A 1,123-nucleotide genomic window follows, 5' to 3' on the forward strand; every position below is an offset into this window, starting at 1 on the left:
ACTCGTAGACAAGAAGAAAGGAAAAGAAAGAGAATGGAAGACAGGAAGGAAGAGAGACAGATGTAAAAATTATCTAGCTAGATCAACTTTCGCGTGAAGATGGTGCCCAGAGAAATGAAATCACTTTCCCAAAGGTACCCTGCACTTCAAGACTTCTGATTTGGGGTTTGAAATGTACCCTCTAACCCACATTGTTCCTCTCTCTCTCTCTCCCTGTCCATGCCTTTCAGTTTATGCATTCACATGAAGATGTGAGTAATAAAGTGGTAGAGGCCTTAATCACTTGACCTTTGAGGAAGGATAAGAGCTTTACTCCAGAAGGCCACAGCCCTGTGGTGGTGATGGTGGGGGTGACATTAGGGCCTTCCCAGACTCCCTAGTATCAGACCACAGAGGCTGCTAATTCTTAGTTTATGTCAAGCTATTTGCATTTTCTTTCCTAAATGTCCTTGTGTGGTGCTACTGTCAGAGTGTACAGGATGCTGGGGTTTTTCTGCTTGTAACTCACTGCCCTGAAGTTGGGTTTCTAATTTACTCAAGGGGCTCCAGTGTCTCAGAGCAGATGGGGCAGCCTGGCCAACGGGGAGAGGAAAAGGCTGATCGGATGAAGAACTTCTGTTTCTGTGACTAAGGACTTAGTCAGCTACCTGGTTTAGGATGTACTATTTGTCAGTAAGTGGATCAGGAGGAAGCAGCACTCATTCTGGCTAGAGTAATGGTTTTCAGTGCATTTTTTACTCATGAAATTCAAAAAGAACAGGGTGCCAGTTCAACCTTGTGGTTGAGGTTATGAATGAGAAAGGAAGCTTAAATTACCCAGAGAGGCTGTCCCCTTAGTCACAGTTTCAGAGCATTCCAGACTCCTGTGTCAATTAAACCATATTGAACTTCAATAAAATACCAAAAAGGCAAATAATGGTCTTTTTGGAGAGCTCCCTTTTGCCCTACCCTTTTGATTGCGCTCTGTCTCTCTCCCCCATCTCTCCACCTCCTCTCTCCTTTCTCCCTCCCTCTCTCCCTCTCTCTCTTTCCTTTTTTCTTTCTTTCTTTCTTTTCTCTCTCTCTCTCCCTCCTTTCTTTCTTTCTTTCTTTCTTTCTTTCTTTCTTTCTTTCTTTCTTTCTT

At 43.6% G+C, this 1,123-nt stretch overlaps 1 annotated feature.

The window, feature by feature from the left end:
• Positions 206 to 305: an enhancer, noted in NCBI's record as "active region_29569". NCBI's record gives its function as "activates an Ori minimal core promoter by ATAC-STARR-seq in GM12878 lymphoblastoid cells {active_cell/tissue: GM12878}" and the evidence as "EXISTENCE:reporter gene assay evidence [ECO:0000049][PMID:35858748]".

The sequence above is a fragment of the Homo sapiens genome, chromosome X (assembly GCF_000001405.40).
Source record: "Homo sapiens chromosome X, GRCh38.p14 Primary Assembly".
Classification (NCBI taxonomy): domain Eukaryota; kingdom Metazoa; phylum Chordata; class Mammalia; order Primates; family Hominidae; genus Homo; species Homo sapiens.